Source organism: Homo sapiens, chromosome 13, assembly GCF_000001405.40.
Source record: "Homo sapiens chromosome 13, GRCh38.p14 Primary Assembly".
In the NCBI taxonomy this organism is placed as follows: Eukaryota; Metazoa; Chordata; class Mammalia; order Primates; family Hominidae; genus Homo; species Homo sapiens.
The window spans coordinates 51,284,246-51,303,822 of NC_000013.11; the positions used below are offsets into that span (position 1 = coordinate 51,284,246).

A 19,577-nucleotide genomic window follows, 5' to 3' on the forward strand; every position below is an offset into this window, starting at 1 on the left:
GGTTGTCTCATAAATTATATCTATGTATTAGGCTCTGTAGTGTAAGAAGTCTAGATTGTAGCCCTGGTTTTTTGTCGCTTAATGGAACCGTGTCTCTTGTTTCCTTGGCCTTACGCTTCCTCCAGCATTGCCAGGGAGGGGATGTGTTGGTAAGTGCTCTGGTTGAGTTACATCCCATCCCTCATTTGCCTCTTTTCCAAGTAAGATCCCCTCAACCCCAAATTACTGCTCACGGTCCCACTTTGGCCTACACTAAACACCACCTAGTGTCTGCTTTAAAGAGCAAATCTTTCTCTGTCTGTCCCCAACTCACCTGGCAAGTCCTACAGAAATCATCTTGGGTCACCTCAACTGGTTAAAAGGAGCATAAGAGGAACTGGTGGAAGCAGTGGGTGAGCCACTGCAGAGACTTTTGTGACATGGGAGGGTTGATGTGTGCTTGAATAAATTGGGTTTTAGTAGTGGCTGCTCCTTGAGCCTCCGGGTCTGAGGGCAGGGGAACAGTCACAGCAGAGTGAACTGGACTGTACCACCCAGTGCGTTCCCAGGTGAGACTACATGTTTACTTTACTTAGAATGAGCTCCCGGCCACAAATAAATCAGGAGAAACGGAGGTATCTTCCTACCTCCCTATTTTCCTTTTTTTTTTTTTTTTTTTTTTTTGAGACAGGAAGGATATCACTGTCACCCAGGCTTAGTGCGGTGGCACAATCATGGCTTACTGCAGCCTCAACCTCCCAGGCTCAAGTGATCCACCCACCTCAGCTTTCTGAGTAGCTGGGACTACACATGCACCACTATGCCCCACTAATTTTTTATTTTTTGTAGAGACAGTCTTGCTATGTTGCCCAGGCTGGTCTCAAACTCCTGGACTCTAACCCTCCTCCCACTGCAGCCTCCCAAAGTGCTGGGATTACAGGCATGAGACAGAGCGCCCGGCCTATCTTTCTACTTTCTGTAGATGAATTAGTGCTCCAAACTGTCAGCCAAGAGGCATCTGAATAGATTCATTGAATTCCTGTAAGATTTTTAAGGGCAATAAAACCAACTGTGGACAGCTTCTCCCTCCTCATACCCTCAGACCGGTATCAGTGACCAGTTCTGACCAGTGATCCCTGGGTATGAATTTCAGGAGAGAAGTAGGAATAGCTGAATAGTCACCCTCTCCTTCTCCGCCCCAGGCCACATGGCTCCATGTGCTCATCATTTGTAGGGTTCTGCTTCTCTTGCATTCCTGAGAAATACAATTGATCAGATACTACAGAGGCTTCAGAAAATAGCATGAGAAGCTGACATGAATAAATTGCGTTCTCAAGGGAAACACCTTTTGACACACTATTATTATAACAAATGGAACCACAAAGGGTCAGGAACCTGAATTTAAAGATTATATATAAGTACATTCTTCCACCTTTTACTGAAGGCTTTTTCTAGTCTTGGGCACAGAGGTCTATTTACAAAGTGGCTTTAAAAGATCTGATTTCCCTGAGTGAATAATGGAGGCAAACATGAATGGTAATGTCGGCAGGCTTGGGTCTTTTTAACAATTTCCATCTTAGAGGGCTGAGGACCCGTGTCCAGTGATGTGCCCACTATAAGGAACAACACACTCATTTCAGACTGAAGTCACTAGAATACACGGTGAAGGCAAAAAGACCCCTTCTGGGTCCCACTGACAACCTCCATGAACTCTGTGATGAGGGTGTCGCCTCCTGTTATCTGGGATGGTGGCATAGAAAAATGGAGCTGTAGGCCAGGTACGGTAGCTCACACCTGTAATCCCAACAGTTTGGGAGGCCGAGGTGGGTGAATCACTTGAGGTCAGGAGTTTGAGCTCAGCCTGGCTAACATGGTGAAACCCCTTCTCTACTAAAAATACAGAAATTAGCTGGGCATGGTGGCACACACCTGTAATCCTAGCTACTTGAGAGGCTGAGGCAGGAGAATTGCTTGAACCTGGGAGGCAGAGGTTGCAGTGAGCTGAGATCACACCACTGCACTCCAGCCTGGGTGACAAAGCAAGACTCCATCTCAAAAAAAAAAAAAAAAAGAAAGAAAAATGGAGCTGCTTCACCATGCCCCACTGCCCTGTTCTGGCTGGGAGTGGTCCATTTGAGACATTTGAAATATTGATCTTATCAATTGAGCACCTGAAAGAGGCTGCCTGACTCCCTTAGATCAGCCTTGCTCAGTCCCTAAAGCTAAACCCAGAGCATTTTGGATTGGAGTCACTCTGAATGTGTGTGGCACAGCCCAAGAACCGGCCGGCTAGCTAAACAGAAACGCTTTCAAGCCAAATCGCATCCCTGAAGGTGGCTGTGGGGAAGCTTTGGTGCCACCTGGTGGCCGCTGTGCCCGGGAGGGTCACTGAGTGCCCTTTTCATTGAAGAAGCCTCCACCTGGATGAACTTCACTTTATTATCCTGCATTTAATTTTTTAAGCTGTTTATGTCTACAAAGGATTGAGGCAATTTAATTTCCAAATGAAACAACACAATGCAAATAGTAAAGCAGGCCCCCAAAAAGGAGTCTACAACTATGTCCACCGTAAAGAAAAATGTAACTGCTACAGCAGTTTCCTGGAATTTCCTGGAAGCCAGAGCGAAAAGGGAAAGAGATGAGTAGCTGTCTAGTTCTCATTTACGATTAAAGAATCTAGGCCAGGTGCGGTGTCTCACGCTTGTAATCCCAGCACTTTGGGAGGCTGAGGCGGGTGGATCACGAGGTCAGGAGATAGAGACCACCCTGGCAACACAGTGAAACCCCGTCTCTACTAAAAATACAAAAAATTAGCCGGGCGTGATGGCGGGAGCCTGTCGTCCCAGCTACTCGGGAGGCTGAGGCAGGAGAATGGCTTGAACCCGGGAGACGGAGCTTGCAGTGAGTGAGCCGAGATCGTGCCACTGCACTCCAGCCTGAGCAACCGAGCGAGACTCCGTCTCAAAAAAAAAAAAAAAAAAAAAAGGAATCTAGAAACACTGTCTTCTTTCATTGTAATTTAAGTTTCCTCAACACAGTTCCTCAGAAAAAAACAAGTTTTTCTTAGCACAGATTTCTAAAATCTCTTTCTCACCAGGGGATTTTCATTAGGGATTTTCTCTGTAGGGTTACTAATTTGGACCAAGTCTTGGGCTTTCTTGCTTGGGGGACAGAATCAGCAACAGCTGGAGGAGACAGCGCACCCACAGCTTGTGGGTGAGGCTCCCTAGACATCCTTCTCCGGCCGCACTGTGCAGCAAGGTGGAAATTTCTCTCAGCAGAAAGCCTAGAGGGCTGGGCTTCTCCAATGCTCTTGAGGCCGTATCTGTAGAGTTTAGAAACAGAAGGGCCGATAATAAGGTTGCTTCCCTTTCTGAAGCTAACCTTGCCCCTGTTCAACCAAGGCCAGAAGCGTCTACTACCTCCCCAGGTTTCCTCATCACATAAGATGTGTCAGATCCTAATGAGGTAAGAAGCAAGAGGAGACTAAAGAGTAGGCTGGATTGACTGCCGGGGGCGTAGCTCTTAGCAGTGGCCTGAAGACTGAAAATGCAGCCTGTCAGAACAGAGGAAACTGAGGTGCAGCGGGAGACTCCTCAACCTATTTCTACTCCAAGAGTTATGTTCCACTTCCTGCAAAATGAGCCTCCTGTGCCCGATATGAGCTAAATCACCTCATGCCAGGGCCTCTGAAATTCTCCTTGGCCATAAAGCTCTGTGGCTGTCTGGGCCTGTGTTCATCACCCGAGCTGGTTCTGCACTCCTGCAGTGACCTCTTTGGTCATTTGGTCATTTCAGAGCTCACTGCCCCCTACCCCCACAATGGCTTCCCAGGAGTATTCCCTCTGGCCAGCTTTACCCTTGCTGGAAATGGTGAACTGGCTGCAGCTGTGGAGGTGAGCGCCTGGGAATCTGGCAGCAGGCTCAGGACTGTGACCTGACCACCTGTGGCCCACCCAGGGAATTCTGCATGGTCACATTCTGTTCACCTTTGCTCCAAATTCAGTACACACTGGAGCTTTCCATTTGGAGGACACTGGCTTTCCTTTCCCATCCTGCATGGGCCTGGCCTCTCTTGCACATTCAGCCACACTTTCCTGGGTGCTAGACCTGAATTTTCAGCTTCCTGCAATATACCCATGACTTGGGGTTTTCCTGTGCCACCAAATCCACGCCAAACCACCACACACACCCCTACACCAATAAGGAGCATCTCCATCTCCTCCATCTCCTCCTCCTCCTCCATCTCCTCCTCCTCCTCCATCTCCTCCTCCATCTCTCCTCCTTCTCCTCCTCCTCCATCTCCTCCTCCTCCATCTCCTCCTCCTCCTCCTCCATCTCCTCCTCCTCCTCCTCCTCCATCTCCTCCTCCTCCTCCTCCTCCATCTCCTCCTCCTCCTCCTCCATCTCCTCCTCCTCCTCCTCCATCTCCTCCTCCTCCTGCTCCCCCCCCCACCTCGCCTTCTCTCTCATCATTCACATTCGAAAATGAAGAGTGAAGCACCAAGATAGCCCAATGGAGAGAAGCAGGGCTTTGGGGTCACACGTATCGGACTTTGAATCCCACCCAGACTTGCTAGCTGTGTGACCCTAATCAAGCTATTCCATTTCTCACTCTTGGGTTCCTCATTTGCAAAGTGGGAGGAGTAGGGTGCAGTAAGTGAGGTACATGCCTCAGGGGCAAAACTTAAGAGGGTTCCCAAAACCTCATTCATTAAGATTAATATTACTTTTGAACTCCTAGAAGTAAAAAGTAAAACAGAGGATACTAGAGGCTGGGAAGGTTAGGGGGAAAGGAGGGAAGGGGAGAGATTTGTTAGAGGACACGAAATTATAGCTAGACAGGAGGAATAAGTTCTAGTGTCCTGTATCACTGCAGGATGACTCTAGGTAACAATATTATGTAGTTTTAAATCACTAGGAGGGGGATATTGAATGTTTCCCACACAAAGAAATGATAAATGTTTGAGATGACGGATATGTTAATTACTCTGATCACTATAGATTATAGGGATCCAAACATTACTACGTACCCTATGATATGTACAATTATTTGTCAATTTAAAAATAAACTAAAAAAAGAGATTATTAATAATAACATTTTAAGGAATGAAGCCTTCTTCATAGGGTCATTCTGAAGAATAAATGAGATCCAGAGGCAAAGTCTGGCACAATGAGCTGTCATTTCCAACTTTCATATTAGCAAAGGTTTTGAAGATAATGCTCCATGATGTTTATTCATGGTTTTTAGCATGGGAAAGAACTGTAGCCATAGATATATCAGTAGCCTTAAAAATGCTTATGTCAGGTAGGGTGTGGTGGCTCACGCCTGTCATCCCAGCATTTTGGGAGGCTGAGGCAAGCCAATCGCTTGAGCCCAGGAGTTTGAGACCAGCCTGGGCAACATGGTGAGACTTCATCTCTACTAAAAATTAAAAAAAAAAAAAATTAGCCAGATGTGGTGGTGCATGCCTGTGGTCCCAGCTACTTGGGAGGCTGAGGTGAGAGGATCACCTGAGCCCCAGGAGGTCCAGGCTACAGTGAGCCTTGATCATGCCACTGCACTCTGGTCTGGGCAACAGAGTAAAACACTATCTTAAAAAAAAATGCTTATGTCTGATAATTTAGTTTCTGGGAGACTATCCCAAGGAAATTATCCAAAGCAGAGGTAAATACTTATACACTTGTTTGTCGCAGTACAATTTATAATAGCAAGCCATTGGGGAACAACCTGAATGTGCAGTACATTCATAAGAAAGAAAAGTAAATGAGGTGCCCAGGAAATGGAATATTATACAACCATGACAAATAATGCTTCAAAGCATGTTTAATAACAAAGGGAAAGCTTGACATAACTTTAAGCTTTAAAACATCAGGATAGAATGTTAAATATAATAAAATGCCCTTGACCATGTAAGATACTGTAGAAAAAATAGATTGTAAAAAAGTGTGTCAAAGGAGGATGGCTTTTGCTTCTGGGTGGTAGAAGCATGGATGGTATCTCTTCTTTTTCATTTTCCTTTTTGAACTTGACATCTTATATGATAAACATTTATTAATTTTATAATTAAAAGGTAAAGATAATAAAACTGGGCTGGGCACTGTGGCTCTTGTCTGTAATCCCAGCACTTAGGGAGGCTGAGGTGGGAGGAGTTTGAGACCAGCCTGGGCAACAGAGTGAGACCCATCTCTACAAAAAATATTTAAAAACTGGCCGGGCATGGCAATGCATCCTTGTAGTCCCAGCTACTTGAGAGACTGAGGTAGGAGGATCACTTGAGCCCAGGAGTTTGAAGCTGCAGTAAGCTATGATGGTACCACTACACTCCAGCCTGGGTGACAGAGTGAAACCCTGTCTAAAACAAAAATGAAAACCTGGAGAACCCTAGCCCCCTTTGAGTGTTCTGCACCTTCACATCACATCACATCTGTCCCCTCCATCTCATTTGTCCTCTCCAGGTTTTGTGTGTTGTGTGTTTCTGCTCCTTCCTTTCCCTCCCACCTTAGTTACACAGGTGGGATAAACTAGTGGTTAGAGCAAGGGTCTTCTAATCCTTAACTTGAACAACTTCCTTAACCTTCTGTGACTCAGTCTCCTCATCTGTAAAGTGGGGACATTCTAATACTCCTCTAATACTCCACATCTCGGCATATTTGTCTTTATGGTACAGAAACTGCCCTCGTGGGCCACTGTGGGCTGGGACGGTAAGGATGTTGTCAGTAGCACCACAAGAGAGCAGAGGCCCATCCCCATCATCACTTACTACATAATCCTTCTAGAGTCTACTGTGTCCCTATTCAGAGGAGGGGTCCCCAGTTATGATTACAATGGAATTTTTCAATGACACACAGGATGATAGCTTCCAGTCAGAATTAATTTGGTTTAAAGAAAACGCAGAAGTATTTTTTACACCCCTGATTTTGTTGCCTGAGAGTCATGCCCTGTACCCATCATCATGATGAGCTGGGTTACCACTTTCCAAGGTTGTGGCCATAGATTCCCAACTATCTCCTGGCCCAGCATCAATCTACTCCTGTCCATCTACACACAACTACCAATTATTTTTTAAAAGATCTTTGCACATCCTTCTGCTCAAGACCATCCCATGCCTCCCTCTTGCCGAGTAAAAAAGCCCTTTTCCCAGACACGCTCTGGAGGCCTTTGCTGCCTGGCCCCATCACCTTTGCTATCTCGGCACTCACTGTTACATGCTCCAGCCAAACGGGCTCTTAACTCTCCACCAAACATACCTTGGGCTCTCCCACCTTTGGGCCAAAGCTCAGATTATTCCTGTGACTCACCATCTCTGCCCATCAAACTCCTGCTGTCTACCAAAGCCCAGTGCAAACACTGCCTCTTTCAGAAAGCCTGCCCAGTTATCCCTGCCAGAGCACACGTCCTCCTGCTAAAATTCATGAGGTCATCCTTGACTAAGGACAAATCACAGGTTATTTAGACTTGTAGTGATTTAGGCATATGGCTTATCTACCCAGGCCAATTATAAACTAGTCCTTGGTCCAAAATAGGACCTGGATAAATAAGATTTGAAGGAATGCATGTGTGAGTGCTTTATGTGCACAGGGCAGCCTCTCTGCTGCCAGCAGATGTGCTTTTCATGATAAACCCCATTATCACATTCCTGTGTCAAGGCCCCTACCCTGATCAGGCTGCTTATTTCATGATATTCAAATGTCCTGGAGGGTCAACAGGGAGAAATCATGTGCACAGAGGAAAACACATGAGGCCATTACTGAGCCTGTTTGTGTCTACCTTAACCTCAGCCATTTACTCTGTTTTGGTTCTGATCCTATTTGTCTTCATCCTTCCAGGCTGAAGAGTCCTGACTTTTCAAGCCTGTCCATATGGACTTTTTCTCTCCCTCTTCCTCCCTTACCTCTTTTTAAATTTTAATTATTTTTTCCGGGCCTTTAAATGCCCTCATGATGTATTTCTGAGTCACTCTATCCACACTCTCGTATGGATCCAGTTGCATCTTGGTTCGGACCAAGAGCAGGGCAAGGTTGTTACTTTGATCTCTGAAATGTTTCTTGTCTTTGCTAACATTAAGGCTAAACACTGAGGGCATTTGCTTACAGAACCTTTTCCCAAACTAGAATTTACCCTCATTCCCCTACAGACATCCTACGTGTATATAGCTATTTTTAAACTTTTTACCCACAAAACTCTTGGCAAAAACACAAACTGAGTAGATTCCAAACCCAACTGGCTTGGAGCCACAGGTTTGAAAAGGAGCATTAGAATGGCTTGAATACGCCTGCTTGCTCTGTTTGAAGGTGAGAATTATAGCATTTCAAGATAGGGCCGGGAGTTCAGGTATTTGACCTATTTCTTTGCCTCAGACTGGAAATTGTTTTCATTGTCACTTTCCAATTTTTTCTCAGGATCAGTCTTCTGCACCTCTAAAGCCACATGTATAACATAAACCAACAGATGGGGTCCTCCGGGAGTGGGGCTGGGGCTGTGCACCGAGAATCTCTCTGAGAGTGGGAACCACTCCCTGGAGCTGCAGTTGCAGACTTTGTTATTTGCTTTGCATTTTCACCATATCCGTGCACTCACTGTGCAATTGTTTACTTCTTTTTAAAATCAAATGGAAACCAGCAGACTCCCCGACACTAGGTTTCCTGGGAAGTGCAGTGCAATGGCCAGCATTTGGGAGCCAAAGGCTAACTGAGGAGGAGGGCGGTGGCTGGCCAGGTTCAAGGTGTGCAGCTACCTCTCTGTGCTCAAAGCTCTGGCCTTTCTTCTCAGTACATCCACTGCTTTGAGGCCACCTTCCTTGGAGGCTGGTCAGACCTCAGGGAGATAGGCATGCCCCAATCTGTCCCAGGACAAGAGGCACCATGAGACCACCTGAAAGTATTCAGTGAAAAGCCTCCCTACAAGACAGTTGCCGCACGGGCTCGCCGGCAGCCATAGCCCAGTAGGAAAACATGTAAGTAAAGAAACAAACGGAGGAGAGAAGGTGACAGAATCTGTGAATTGGATCATGTTGCTATCCTGCTTAAAGTCCTTCAGCGCCTTACCATTGGCCTTGAACTAAAAATACAAATGTCTGTGCAGAGGCCACAAAGCCCTGCATGACCCAGCCCTTCCATCTACACCCAGCCTTGTCTCCCGCTGCCTCTGCTTTGCTCTCTATCTCCCAGTCTCACCAAACTTCTTGCATTTCATCAAACACTCTGCAAGACCTTTCCATGTGCAGTTCCCTCAGTCAGGGATGCCCTTCTCCTTTCTTTGCCCACAGCCACTTCTTATTCCTCCTGTCTCTGTTTCAATGCCATCTCTTCTAAAAGGCCTTCATTGACCATCTATCTTTATCTGCGTACCTATCCATCTACCTACCCACAAGCATCCCTTCCCTCCATTCTTTTTTTTTTTTTTTTTGAAAGGGAGTTTTGCTCTTGTTGCCCAGGCTGGAGTGCAGTGATGTGATCTCGGCTCACCGCAACCTCCGCCTCCCAGATTCAAGCAATTCTCCTGCCTCAGGCTCCCGAGTAGCTGGGATTACAGGCATGCACCACCACACCTGGCTAATTTTGTATTTTTAGTAGAGATGGGGTTTCTCCATATTGGTCAGGCTAGTCTCGAATTCCCCACCTCAAGCGATCCACCCATCTCTGCCTCCCAAAGAGCTGGGATTACAGGCGTGAGCCACCATGCCCGGCCTCTTTTTTTTTTTTTTTTTTTTTTTTTGAGACAGTCTCACTCTGTCGTGCAGTGGCACAATCTTGACTCACTGCAACCTCCGCCTCCTGGGTTCAAGCAATTCTCCTGCCTCAGCCTTTCAAGTAGCTGGGATTAAAGGCACACACCACAATACCCGGTTAATTTTTCATATTTTTAGTAGAGACAGCGTTTCACCATGTTGCCCAGGCTGGTCTCGAACTCCTGAGCTCAGGCAATCCACCTGCCTCCGTCTCCCAAAGTGCTAGGATTATAGCCATGAACCACCACGCCCGGCCCCTTCCCTCCATTCTTTTTATTCTCCAGCTCAGCCTCTACTCTTTTTTCCTTTGTGATTATAATCTATAAATGTATATATTTGTATCTGGCATTATTTTTTATCTGACACCCTGACTACAGTACTTTTCATGACAGCAGAGGTTACCTGTAACTTATACACCATTGTCTTTCAGGGCCAGGCATCTAACCAATGCTTAATAGATATTTGTTGAAGGGATGAATGAAATGAATGATAAGCATTGATCAGGTGTTTGTATAACTTTAGACCACAACTTTAGGGTACATGATTTTTCAGATTCCTTTGTTTCTATGGGAATATAAACATATACACATATATAGAGAGAGATCAAATGTTACCTCCCTAAGCACCCACCTGCCATTCCCATAATGAATTTGATCCCAGCCCTCATTGAGGTTCCCATACTCTCTCCAGGGATCACATAATAACATGGGCTTATGTGGTCCTGGGAAATCGAGGAAGGGGCTGGCTGCTACCTGGTATCAGCCATCAGGGCCACTGGAGTGGAACCCTGGTCCTGTGTGTGACAGGCTCTTTGCCCAAAGAAGGCTCAGAGAAGGCCTCATAGCTGTCTGTCCCTCTGCTGCCAAAATTCTCCTGGTACAACACAGAAATGGAAAACTTATCAAAGGCAGATCCATGCCTTCTAATGGTTCACACTCTACTGGTAAAAACAAATGTTTAAACATACACCTGCTCTCCAATAAGGTAATTGCAGTAGTGCAAACAAGAACAATCCTGCAGGAGGGGAGGCAAGGAACTCTTAGTGGACACTAGGGAAAGCTTCCTAACAGAAGCACTTGTTTGCACTTGGTCTGGGAAAATCAGTGCAGGATGCCAGAGGAGAGGGATATAGAGGAGCTTTGGCGAAATTGGAAAAGTTGGAGGCCATGAAGGGGAGAAATGCTGTATCCAGCTCTGACTTTGCAAAAAGACTGTCCAGTGAGAGAAACTGCCTCCCATCATCATCAATAGATATTGACCAAATCTACTTTTGGTGTTGACCTGAAGGTCACAGAGTGATTGCAAAGGCCTCTGCTTGCTATGGGGAAATGAATGCAGAAAGAAATAGGCATCAATTTAACATTCCTTGGAGAGTCCTTGTAAAATAGCAGCGTACCAAAAATACCCACCAAAGCCACGCTGTGTCACAGGGAGACCAGCACAATATGAGTTCACTTGAGAGTGGACACAGTTATCTGGGCTATAGATCAAATTTATGATAAGGCTGAGTTGTATTTTTATGTGCTGAATGTAGAGTACATGAGACCCTTCTGGAAACTGCCTGTTATTGTATATAGAACTTGAAGCATTATTTTACCAGTTGAAATTACTCTCACTTTATAGCTGTTACTTTGCTTTTATGGAATACTATTGATCGTATCTATTCATCATTTACCACTGCGTCCTCGTTCAGCAAAGAAACCACCCTACCTCAATGTACCTGCTGAAAAATACATTCTGTGTTAGTAATGATAGAATAAACAGCTGACATGTATTAAGAACTCAGTGTGCCAGGCCTTTTGCTAAGTACTTCATATACATGATCTCATTCTATCTTAAACATAGGAGGTTGTAGTTGATCACCATTTTACACATGAGCAAACAGACAGAGACAGGATAAGAAATTGTCCAGGATCACACAACTAGCTAGGAGTAGACTATCATCATCTATTCATTCATTCCTTTAAATAAATGTACTGAGTATTGTAAATTTCATCAGAACATGTGAGTTGTACATAACATTAACTTTCCCCTAAGGAGTTTAGGATATAGCAGGTGAAGTAAAACTTAGAAGAGTGAGGTGTGTGACGAATGATGTGAGCACTTTATGCTTATAGAGAAGTGAGGACTCAATTCTGCAAAGGCAAATAACAACTGAGCTAGGTTTTGAAGGGGGTAAAATTGTTAGAATAAGCTGTGAGAAAGTTCTTCCAAGCAGAAATATTTCTTAAGTCAAGCTCCTCTAAAACAAGAATAATAAAACCAGCACATCTGGTATAACCTATTTTATTATTATTTTGTTAACAAAATATTAATGTCTTATTCACATATTTAACTGTAAGCCCAAGTCACAATCCTGTTCTTCTCAGAGGTGGCAGTTGAACCTGATGGTAAAAATCTGGCAGGAACAGCCTCTAGTCACCGGGGACACAGGTTTCAGAAGTCCTAAACAGATTTAGCAAAACTCTATCCTTATGACTTAGTTATGGTCATTAACGAGACTCACTGTGGATTGTCTTTTCAATGGGAAGGTCCTGCCTGAAGCAGAAATGTGCTGAGTTTGAGTCTGAACTCTGCCTTTGAAAAGCAGGCAGGAGTATCCATGTATGACACATGAAAGATCTGCTTTATGAAAGTTATATAAACATAATTTCAGGCCCCATCCATGGTCAGTTAGTGCACTTAGGGCCACATATTCTCATTGGAAGTGTCCTTGTCACACTTGTGGTTTGACAGGGAGACCAGCTTATTCCCTCTGCATCCAGGAGGGCCTGGGCAAGGGAACTCTGGGGGCTCTTCACCTTCCTGGTTTGGGGTGAGAGGAAGAAGAAATGAGAATGAGTCTCTAGCTTCCTGTCACTCACAATCAGGAGCTGAATTCTTCCACCATTTTGATGTTTGCAGCAGAAAGAGAGAGGAGAGGGAAATAAGTAGAGGGTAAGAAGGACAGATACAAGGATGGGAGAAATCAAATGGTCCCCCAGAGGGACCAGAGAGACACATCCCTCTCTACTCCTCCTCACCACTGTGGTCCCAGAGAGTGGGGGTGAAGGCTTGGTGGGGTTCCCCCGCATTTCTGAGAGGTCTTGACTCCCATGCATTTCTGAAAGGTCTTCAATGGTGTCTTTAGCATCACTAAAGCACTCCATACCCACTTTGGATTAAAGGGGGGAGGATTTATGTCTCCACAGTACCCCATGGGGGACACCAAAGATGGGTATTTTAAAATTCTTCTCACAAATAAGGATAATCCAGCACAGAAAGGAATAGAAATGCAGCCAAGATCAGACAGTTTGTCAAATCAGATCTGTGACATTTCTAACTCTGTTGAAGGATGTCATCAATTCTCATAACAAAATTCATACCAATTTGCTCTATTTGGCAAGTTATAACGTTCATCTGGAATTAGGGAGGGATGAAGGGTAGGAGTGGAGCGGAGGGAAGAAAGGATGAAGCTGAGTCCCGCCATCGTCAGAAGAAACAAATGAGGATGAAGCATCAGGAACACGCAGTGAAATGAGTCCCTGGTTCCACACATGGACTTCACTCTTGCACAGAGGCCCTTTGCGCAGGTCAGCACTTGCCACAGAGCCCCTCAAGCCATGAGTTTGCCCAGCTTTTCCTCATCTAAATACAATCACTTTGGGAATCTGAGCATTTGATTTGCTATAACCAATATAGGGTCTTCGAAGCAGCTGTCCTGCCCAACTGGATTTTTGTCTGTTCACTTAATTACACTGTCTGAGATCCCTCCTGCAATGCATCACCTCTAGACAGCAGAAAGATGGCACTGTAGGTGAGACAGGCCTGTTAAATTGCAAATGTCTCCCAGGCATTTGGCAGCTCACTCCCACCACAGATCTCTAGCAGGGCCCCGGAACCAGCATGATCTAAACAGCTGAAGCAGAAATAACCAAAGAAGATTCACCAAATGGAGAATGAGTCCAGGATGAAAGATTTAAATGCTGAGGAAAAGTGTGTGATGAAGGAACAGAGACATATGCATTAATAGAAGCTGTTCTTATAATGACTAAAATTATATATTTGCAATACCTTTGCTGAAGTCATGCCTGATACTAATGTTTGTAGTCTTCCACTCCTGATCCATCCCAATGATCTGCAGGGTCATCATAGCATTAGCCTAAGTAGACCAGTGACAAAACCAATGTCCAGAGGAGAAAGACCAACCCACATTCTAGAAAGACAGTGATTGGCCCCAACCCATTGTTGGCTTCCAGAGGATTCCAGATGTCCCATGGAGTAGGACGGCGGGGAAAACCACCTCTACGAGAGAGAGGAGCTTTTACCTCCAGCCATTTCCAGTCCTTTGTTTTGCATCTTTATCACAGAAAAATTCTAAAATAATAAATTAAAAGAGAGAATGTATGCATACCTCACTGGAATTAGCTACCCTTTTATTCACTGAGTGTCAACTATATGCCAAGCATTGTGCTAAATGCTTTATATTTTCTTATGAATCCTCAGAACAACCCAGTGTGATAGGTTTTAGTTACTTATTTTATCGATGAGAGAAGAGAGACTTGGTGAGATTAAGTAAGATATCCAATAGTATATAGCTAATTACTAGCTGGCTCAAGTTTCAGACCCAGATCTGTCGGATTGCAAAAACCATCCTTTAAATCATGACGCGGTCCTGTCTGCCCACCACTTGGTTTGATGTAGTTCTTAGCTGTAAACAACAGAATCCAGTCTCCTGGTTGAATGTAGAAAGAAATTTGTGAAAGTGTGCCAGACAGATCCCAGAGTCTGCGAAGGGGCAGAGACCAAGCTTGAATGCCACACTGCAGGAATAAGGAAGGAAGGAGACCAAACTGCTCTTTGGAATGTTTCTAGCAGACAAGCCACTGCTGCTGTGACACTGGTGCTGATTATGCCTGGAACTAGGCATCAGATTCTCCACTAAAACTGCCCCAGAAAAGCCAGAAGCCTCTGCCACCACATTTACCAGGAGGTCAGCCTCCCTACATTGCCCACCATTGTTCAGTTTCCATTCCTGTCTTGCATGTGTGCTTCTGACTAAATCACATGGCTGTATCCAGTTTCAAGGGATTCTGGGAGATGTAGTTTGGGAGTGTTTATCTTAGGAAGATGAGACTTGCAATACAGAAGCCATGAAAGAAAAAGGAGAGGTTAAACAGATTTTGATCCACTAAAAATAGTAAGATCAAGCATTTCTTGAGGGGTTACTATGCACAGAACATGGAACTAGACTCAAGGATTCCACGTATGAGGAAATATGATCTGAGACCTGGTCCTTGGAGGTGTGGAATCTGACTGTGTAAAGTAAGTGGTTACCCACCCAAGGCAGCCCTTATGAGGGCCAAGTAAGCAGTCAGAGAAGACATGAGACTGCAGTTCAGAGCCATGTGCCACCTCAGTGAGCTGGGGCATCAGATGTGATGGATGAAGACATGGGACCAGATGCTTTGTCCCTGAAAGGCACAGACGCCATCTACAAAGCAGAGGAGACATGGATGGAGATGGTGGCCCTCCCCTAGCCTGGCTCAGGGTGTGTGGGGTCAGAAAGAAGGATCGCAACCCCAGGGCAGGGTCTATGGTTCCACTCCAGCCACATGGTAGAGGGCCCGAGTGTGCAGGAACGTACTTACCACGGAGTGGTGTTTCTGTAGGGATCAGCGAGGGGAGAGGGAGGCTGTGGGATGGGAAGAGAACACACACAGAGTCATGACCATGAGCATGGGGGAGAGGACAGGTGCCCAAAGTAGCCTGTGTTTCAGACAGCGGTATAAGGAGGACAGGTTGTAAGACTATGCCAGGCCGAATTACGAATTATAAACAAGACCCCTCTAGCTGTTTAAGCAGCAAGGATTTGTTAAAAAAAAAAAAAAAAAAAGGAGTTAGCTTTTGAATCCCTGGAAGAGCCAAACAGTCAGTTTGGGGTCTGTGCAGGACCCATGCCCAGAACCCGAGCCTCTGTTGCTGTTACTGCTGCTGCAAGACAACCTTGCAGCCCAGAAAGTGGAGTCTGGAAGGTGCTGTGGTCCTTCCTCCCATTGCTCTGTATAGGAACACTTCTTTGTGGGTGCCTTTGTCAAAGCCCGTGTTCCAGCTCCCAGGGAAGACTGACCAAGTGAGTTCTGCCTTCTCCCATGAGGAAGCAAAACAAATAATTGCGGGAAAAGGTTGTTCAAGGATCCAGGTACCCACTTTCATAATAAATGTCCTCCATAGAGGAACGGTGTGAGATGGCTCTTGTGCCTGCCTAGGGAACAGTGACATTGGACTTGGCTTCGTATACCCTGACCAGGAAGCGGCACCTCCTACAGCCATGGAGAGCCTCCAGAGTCCCAGACACCCAGGTGGGGGGCTTCTGGGTAATTGGACCTGGAGGAAAACTGATCTCTGAAAATATGAAAAGTTCACTCATCCTGAGGTATGAAAATGACTGACAATGCCACGGTGGCTCATGCCTGTAATCCCAGGCTGAGGCGGGCGGATCACCTGAGGTCAGGAGTTTGAGAGCAGCCTGGCCAACGTGGTGAAACCCCATCTCTACTAAAAATACAAAAATTAGCCAGGAGTGGTGGCGCATGTCTGTAATCCTAGCTACTCAGGAGGCAGAGACACGAGAATCACTTGAACCCAGGAGGTGGAGGTCACATTGAGCCGAGATTGTGCCACTGCACTCCAGCCAGGGCAACAGAGTGAGACTCCATCTCAAAAAAAAAAAATGACCGGCAATGCTTATAGTGCTTATAGGCTACCTTCCCAGAGGTACTGCAGTTTAACAGAAAACAATGCTTTAAGTAAAAGGGATAAGTTACTACTAATTGGCCCATTTTTGGTATCAGGCACCCAGTGGAACAAATATTTGCTAGTTGGTGGGAGGAGAATCTGTGGCGAACACTTCAGATTGTCGGCCCAACACCCGGTCTTCCTTGCTTCACTATTGACAGTATTCCAATTTGGTGGGAGGGGAACAGCAATGTACTGTTTAAAAATAGTCACTCCCTTGCAGCCCAGGTGGTCAGGTGACCCAGTTCTGGCTTTTGGGGTATAAGCAAAAGTCTAATGGGAGGGATTTCTATGGAAGCTATTATTTTGTTGATGAAAAGGGGCAGACTCAACTAGCCCGTTACTTTTCTTAATAGACTTTTTAGAGCAGTTTTAGATTCATAGCAAAATTGAGCAGAAGGTACAGAGACTTCCATTATATCCCCTGTCCCCACACACATACAACCTCTCCCACTATCAGCATCCCCTACCACAGTGGAACATCTGTCACAGTCAACGAACCCTACATGGACATGTCATTATCACCCAGATTCCACAGTGTTTACATTAGGATTCACTCACAGTGTTGTCTTTTCCACGGGCTTGGACAAGTGTGTGACACATACACACCACCGTAGTACCTTACAGAAGAGTTTCACTGCCTATGTCAGTCAGTTTTCCTTGCTATAAAGGAATCCTTGAAGCTGGGTAATTTATAAAGAAAAGAGGTTTACTTTGGCTCACAGTTCTGCAGGCTGTACAGGAGGCACGGAGCTGGCCTCTGCTTCTGGTGAGGGCCTCAGGAAACTTCCACTCATGATGGACAGTGAAAGGGAGCGAGGGAGTTAACACGGTGAGAACGAGTGAGAGGGAGAGAAGGGGGAAGTCCCAGACTCTTTTAAACAACTAGATCTCTGTGAACTGAGCAAGAACTCACTTATCAACAAGTGGCTGCTGCTAACCATTCATAAGGGATGCACCCCCATGATCCAATCAACTCCCGCCAGGCCTCACCTCCAACATTGGGAATCACATTCCAACCTGAGATTTAGAAGGCACAGACATCCAACCACATCACTGCCCGAAAAATCCTCTGTGTTCTGCCTATTCATCCATCCCTCTCTCCCGTAACTCCTTGTAACCACTGATGTTTCTACTGACTCCACAGTTACTCCTTTTTCAGAATGTCATCATATAGTTGGAATCATAGCCTTTTCAGATTGGCTTCTTTCACATAGCAATATGCACTTGTTTCCTTCACCTTTTCACGGCTTAACATCTCATTCCTTTTTAGCACTGAATGATATTCCACAGTCTGGTTGTACCACAGTTTATCCATTTACTTACTGAGAGACATCTCGGTTGCTTCCAAGTTTTGGTGATTCTATTAGTCTGTTCTCACGCTGCTGATAAAGACATACCCAAAACTGGGTAATACATAAAGGAAAGGAGTTTAATGCACTTACAGTTCCACATGGCCAGGGAAGCCTCATAATCATCGCAGTAGGCAAAGAAGGAGCAAAGTCACATCTTAATGGCAGCAGGCAAGAGAGCTTGTGCAGGGGAACTGCACTTTATAAAACCATCAGATCCCGTGAGAATTATTCGCTACCACGAGAACAGTGTGGGGGAAATTGCCCTCATGATTCAATTATCTCCACCTGGCCCCACCCTTAACATGTGGGGATTATTACAATTCAAGGTGAGCTTTGGGTGGAGACACAGCCAAACTATATCAGCAATTATGAATTAAGCTGCTATAAATATCTGTGGCTGGTGTCTGTGTGGACGGAAGTCTTCATCTCATAGGGTAAGCACCAAGAAGTGTGATTGCTGGATCGTGGCCCATCATTTTGCACTTTGCCTATTGCCCTTCTTCCTGCCTGTAACTCAGGGGCAATGCCCAGAGGAGGAGAAGCCATCCTGCCACCCCAGGCAGAGGCACCCCACGCTAAGGAAGGAGGAGCTGGAAGCCAGAGAGGCCTGGTCCACGGTGGCTTCCTTGAGCAGCTACACCAGCCCGTAAACTGTCTGCATCAGACTTTATGTTACACTCAAAAACCAGATCCCTTTTGGGTTATGCTACTGTGATTTGGTTTTTGTTTCATCCAAGCTTGGTCCTAACTGGTATGGAAACCATCTTGATGTTCCTAAAATCGCTTCAGATTGGCACCTTGTGGGCAACAGGCTTGGTTCTTAAAATATTGTCAGCCTAGGAATGACTGTGGGGGTACCCCCTTTTTTAAATTCTCGATTTGAATTCATCTGAATCTTGAATATTTTGTCTTTCATTTAAAGTAGACATCCCCCTTCCCCAAGTGAATCTCAAAGAAAAGGGAAAATGCGTTGCCAGTGTTTGAGAGCTAGACCCCTTCCTTCCTCATTAAATCCCCAGTTGGGAATGTAAAAGCACCATCTGCATTTCAGTACCTGCTGGGCAGAAGATGTGCATTCCGAGCAGGGAATCCATTTGCTTTTATGAGAGAGGTTTTTTTTTTTCTCCTTCCTGTGAAAGTCCTATTATAAAAACAATTAGTCTCCTTGAAGGATTTTGTTCTGCAAAAGAACTAATTCTCTGCACAGCTGCTCATCCTTAGAAATGGCCTAAGTACCAGAGGGAGGGGGCTCCTGCCACTTCTACAGAATCTGCTTCCAAAGCCAGCACCAGCTCTGCCGAAGCAGAAGCCCTTGGGTCCCCCTACACCTCCAGAGTGTTAAGAGCTGTCAGCCACCATGTGTTAATCTGCCCTCCCTGCCAGGCCATTTGGAGGACCCTCAGGAGCCTGGGGAGGCAGGAGACAGACAAGGCCTTTAACCCATCAGCAGCTGCTCTGTGGTCAAGAGGTCACAGTGGCTCAAATCCAAAGGTGAGAAAGGGCTCAAGGATCATGTTGGGAAACAATTCTTTGGGACCCCCAATACTTCATAGTGTGTTCAGCAGCAGCAGCTCTTGATTAAAAAGGGCCCTTTTCAACCTCTTTAGTTTCATAGAGGTATGCAGTTTGATTGAGGAGGTTTGATTTAGGAAAGATAGACATGAAACAGATTATTTTCCCAGTATACCATTATGCTTTGCCACATTCAACTTTTCTGCTGGGTACCAGGCTTCCT

The 19,577-nt window shown here is 45.6% G+C and overlaps 1 annotated feature.

Annotated features, from left to right (window-relative positions):
- Nucleotides 18,948–19,242: a silencer, noted in NCBI's record as "tiled region #8155; K562 Repressive non-DNase unmatched - State 22:ReprW". NCBI's record gives its function as "represses a minimal TATA promoter and a strong SV40 promoter by Sharpr-MPRA in K562 cells {active_cell/tissue: K562}" and the evidence as "EXISTENCE:reporter gene assay evidence [ECO:0000049][PMID:27701403]".